The 5,305-nt window shown below is 41.8% G+C and overlaps 1 annotated feature.

Annotated features, from left to right (window-relative positions):
* Nucleotides 3,129–4,328: an enhancer, noted in NCBI's record as "P300/CBP strongly-dependent group 1 enhancer chr8:62672336-62673535 (GRCh37/hg19 assembly coordinates)". NCBI's record gives its function as "activates an origin of replication core promoter dependent on BRD2, BRD4, P300/CBP, MED14 and CDK7 cofactors, with strong dependence on P300/CBP, by STARR-seq in HCT116 cells {active_cell/tissue: HCT116}" and the evidence as "EXISTENCE:reporter gene assay evidence [ECO:0000049][PMID:35650434]".

The following is a 5,305-nucleotide window of genomic DNA, read 5'->3' on the forward strand; positions in this document are numbered from 1 at the left end:
CCCTGCTGCATGGCGCCGCTTGCTGGTGGATGGCATCGCATCTCCTTGCCTCCTATTCTTTATCCTTAGCCTTGTGTCCTAGCACCTCTGAGAGCCATGATTAAGACAAACATTCAGAGGCAGGCAAAGCAGAGATAAACTCATTCTTTTATGAATACAGACCTGACTGGCCACCTAAAGGAGAGATGCTTGGGAGTCGAGATTGTGTCCCCATTTATTTAAACCAGTATATCACTATAGTTAACAGCACAAACTTTAGAGTCAGAATGACCTGGATTTGAATTCTATATTATAAATAAAGCTGCTACAAGTGCTCTTGTACAAATCTTTTGGTGGATATATGTTTTCATTTCTTTAGGGAAGGATTTCTTGAGTGGAATTGTTGGTCAGTAAGTATTTGCCTAGTTTTATGTAATGCTGCCAAACTTTTCCAAAGTGGTTGCATCACTTTATTTTCTGCCATTGGATCCTGGAAAAGTTAATTCCACCTCTTTGGGCATAAGTTTTCTTCTGAGGGCAATGGGGATAGTAATAGCTACCCCACAGGATGTTGAGAGGATTAAAAACAAGATATTATGATGTTAACGGAGAGCATGACACAGTAATTTCTCAATAACAGCAAGCATTCTTTTTTTCTTTGTTGTCATTCCTGAGTTTTTGAACATTGTATTATGAAAAATTTCAAGCCTATCAAAAAACTGAAAGAACCTGGTTGTGGTGGCTCATGCCTGTAATCCTAGCACTTTGGGAGGCCGAGGTGGGAGGATTGCTTCAGTACAGGAGTTTGAGACCAGCCTGGGCAATATGGTGAAACCCAGTCTCTACAAAAAATACAAAAATTAGCTGGGCATAGTGGCATGTGCCTGTGGTCCCAGCTACTCAGGAGGCTGAGGTGGGACAATGGCTTGAGCCAGGGAGTTGGAGGTTGCAGTGAGCAATGATTGTGACACTTCATTCCAGCCTGGGCAATAGAGAAAGACCATCTCAAAAAAAAAAAAAAAAAAATTGAAAGGATAGTGAGCGCCCATACACCAACTTGTAGACTGTATAATTCACATTTTACCTTTAATTCATCACCTCTCTAGCCACACATTAATCCACTCTTAATGCATTTTATGGTAGACATTAGTATATTTCCTACTAAATACTTAATCATCAATATATGTAATCTAGTTAATGTATCATTTATTAGAATTCAATATTTGTTTACAGTTCTTTTTGTTCTCTTTGAGGTAAAATTCAGAGAATAAAATGCACAAATTTTAAATGTACCATTCTATGAGGTTTGACAAACTCAGAAAGCTATGTAACTCAAAACCCCAAGATACAGAAATTTTCTTCACACCAGAGAGTTCTCCCTTATCCTTTCCTAGTTAACCATTGTCCTTACCCACTCTCAACAAGGCAACCATTTGTTTTCATTTTCTCAGGTATATAGATCAGTTTATTTTGTCCTAGAACCTTCATGTAAGTGAAATCCAGTATGCTCTCTTTTTATAAGGCTCCTTTTACTCAGCATGTTTTCATATTTTGCCCATGTTGTATATGAGAGTAACTGTTCCTTCTTATTGCTGAGTATAATTAGTTTATATAAATATGCTAGAGTTTGTTCACCTATTCTCTTACTTTGTATATATCTGGACTGCTTTCTTTTTTTTCTATTATAAATAAAGCTGCAATGAATATTATTTTGTAATATTATTTATTTTTATTTTTTTCGTAGAGACAGGGTCTCACATAAATCCCAGGCTAGTCTTGAACTCCTGGACTCAAGCAATCCACCTGCCTCAGTCTCCCATCAAATGATGTGTTATCAAGGTTGCTGCTGTAGACAGCAAGGTTCCATTATGGCAGGACTTCTGTAAAACATACAGAGTGCCTCCAGGAATTTTTTGGGTTATATGTTTTCGTTTCTTTTGGGGAAGTCTTATTGAGTGGAATTGCTAGGCCAAAAGTGTTTATTGAGTTTTTGTCTGTTTTGTTTCTGTTTATTTACTTTTAATAATTTTTTTAAGAGACTGGGTTTTGCTCTGTCACTCAGGCTGGAATGCAGTGGCACTATAATGGCTCACTGCAGCCTTGACCTCCTGGGCTCAAGCAATCCTCCTGCCTCAGCCTCCTGAGTAGCTGGGACCACAGGCACACACCACTATCCCTGGCTAAGTTTTTTTTCATAGAGACAGGGTCTCACATAAACCCCAGGCTAGTCTTGAACTCCTGGACTCAAGCAATCCACCTGCCTCAGCCTCCCAAAGCGTTGGGATTACACGCATGAGCCACTGTGCCCGGCCTTTATTGATTTTTATGTAAAACTTCTAAACTGTTTTCCAAAGATTATGACCCCATTTATTTAAACCAATATATCATGATACTTAACAGAACAAACTTTGGAGCCAGAAAGACCTGGATTTGAATCCTATATTATAAATAAAGCTGCTAGAAGCATTCTTGTACAAATCTTTTGGCGGATATATATTTTTATTTCTTTAGGGAAGGATTGCTTGAGTGGAATTGCTGGGCCAAAGGTATTTGCTTAGTTTTACATAAAGCTGCCAAACTTTTCCAAAGTGGTTGCATCATTTTATTATATCCAAAGTGGCTGTACCATCTTATATTTCCATCAACAGTTGCTCTATACTCAGATTAGAATTTGATGTCATTACTCTTTTTCATTTTAGCCACTTTAGTGTGTAGTGATTTCTCCTTGTGGTATTAATTTCCACTTCCCTGATGACTAACGATGTTAAGAATTGTTAACACACTTATTGGTAATTTGTTTGTCTTCCTTTGTGAAGTGTCTATTCAAATATTCTGCCCATTTTGTTTTAAGCTGGACTGTTTGTATAGTTAATATCCTTGCTTGCAGGACACGGGGGAATGAGGCAGCCACATAGTCTGATGGAAAGGTAAAGAGAATGAAAGAGAGGGAGACAGGTATCTTTGACAGCAAGTCCCAAAGTCGCTCAGCTATCACTCTCCTCTTGTCCATGGACTGTATTCATGTGGGCAGTTGCTGGTTTGCTGTTTGTCTGGCTGAACGCAGACATAGCGCCTGCTCATGATGTGAAGATTTGGCTCACACAAACACAGTGGTGAATGTCTTAGTTTTGAGTTCTCCCCAAAGCAAACTGAGACCAGAATTCAGTGCAGGGAGTTCATCTGGGAGGTGATCTCAGGAAGCCAGGGTGAGGTAGCAGAAGCATGAGTCACAAAAGGAGGAAAAATCAAATGATGTGTTATCAAGGTCGCTGCTGTAGACAGCAAGGTTCCATTCTGGCAGGACTTCTACAAAATGTACATAGTGCCCCCAGGAATTGTTCATGACAGGACATTCATCCTCTGGCTGCTGTGGCACAGGCTCCCCTCCCCTTCCAGGTCTTTTGCAGGGTGGGCAGCTACTGTGGCGTCTGAGAAGGCCAGGACCAGAAGCGCATGTGAGCTCTCACCGAGCGTGGGCCAGGCAATGTGACTGGAAGCACCAAAAGGGCTTTCTAGAGTGAGAGTGCTTATTGCTAGAGTGAGAGTGCTTACTGAGGATTTCCCACGGGAGATCGTAGAGGGTGTCCCATGACCCCCTGTATGTGAACAACTTCACAATCACTGCAGCTTTCCCGCAAAGTCACCTCCTGGCTTAGTCACTGCTGCTCTTCCGCAAAGTCACCTCCTGAATTAGTCACTGCTGCTCTCCCGCAAAGTCACTTCCTGGCTTAGTCACTGCTGCTCTCCTGTAAAGTCACCTCCTGGCTTTGGCAACCAGGGCTCCTTTTTTAGCCTCCACCCCCAGCTCCTCCCTGGAACCCTCTCTCCCGCCTTTTGGATTCTACACCAAAGTCAAATTCTCCCAACTCCTGGGAAGAGCGGCCTCTTTCCTGGCTTCAAGTCTGGCTTCTAGCGGTCACAGGCCTGAGGCTCAGCTCCTACCCCAAAGTAGGTTTATCCACACAGCTGCCTAAAAAAGGTAGTGACAAATAACATTTCTTCTCATTATTGCACAAGTTTTCCACAAGCCCGTCCTGACCATATCTTGGATGGATTCTTCAGTCCACTTGGGCTTTTATTCTTGCTAGTCACCATCCGGCCTATTCTGTGCTCCACTGAAATACATCTGTTATCCTGTTATGGACAGGAGCTCTTGTGTTTTTCCCAAGACAATAATTAGGTCATTCAATGGTGAAATTCCTGCTAAGAGCGGTGGCCCAATGACAGTCCTGGCGAGTCAATCTGCTCGTATCTGCCCGTGCCATCTCTGTGCCAGCCTCCCCACTCCTTCCCTCCACTTCCCCTGTACTTGCACTTCTTCCTGCACTAGGTCAAAATTTTGAATTTTGTTTTTTTTTCAATGTCTCTTTAAGTCTGCCTTGATCCAGGAATTCTCTTGTGCTTTGTTCATATGGCTAGCAGCAAACCTCCCTATATTTAACTGAATATATGTCATTTAAAAAGCATCACTGAGTATAATTATCATGGTGCCTCTCCCTTTTTCTTTCTGCTGACATCTGTTTCAAATCTTCATCACTCCTAACTATAGATTTCTCTTTAAGATATTGCTTCAATGTGGCTTTCCTATTCTCGGAACAAATAGAATGGAACTCACTGCATTCTTTTCCAGCTCTTTTGGGTGATGTAGGACAAGGCTGCAGGAACTCAGCTTTTCCAGAAGTAGAGCATGGAGCCATATTAGCTGGAGGGTTGCTGAATGGTTCCAGGTTCAAACATCAGCATAGCAAAGTCATTATGAGCACAAACTCCTGTGACTTACTCAGCTGTGTGACTCAGGGCAAGCAACATAATATTGCTGTAGCTTGGTTCATTCTTTTTTACAGTGGTAGATACAATAAAGTAATACGCATCTCACAGGGTCGAGTGGGTGCTAAAAGAGTTAGTAGATATCAGGCACTCCAGAGGTTGCTTTATACAGCAGGCACTCAACCTTTGTTTATTACTATCATGTTGCTCCACCAGAGAGTCACAGATTTCATCTCTGGGGTCACTTGATCCCTTTGCTGTCTGCAACTTTTGTAGCTTGGGAGGAGCTTCCTTGACAAGATAAGGAATTTATTTATTCCTCCAGCCAGTGGGATTTCCGACTGTCCGGGGAGGTGGTTTGGAACTAAGACTTAACATGAAGAGAAAATACTGATATATTCCATGGAGACGATCTATTTTCCATTTCAACTTGGAAGACTAACACTTGACTGTCTCACCAGTGGAGGCAGCAAGAGGGTGCATAATACAAAGTTTCTGTAAGCCTTGTAATCTCTGACCACTTGGTACAATGAGAAGGACTGTAATATATTGGATGCTA

Source organism: Homo sapiens, chromosome 8, assembly GCF_000001405.40.
Source record: "Homo sapiens chromosome 8, GRCh38.p14 Primary Assembly".
NCBI lineage: Eukaryota > Metazoa > Chordata > Mammalia > Primates > Hominidae > Homo > Homo sapiens.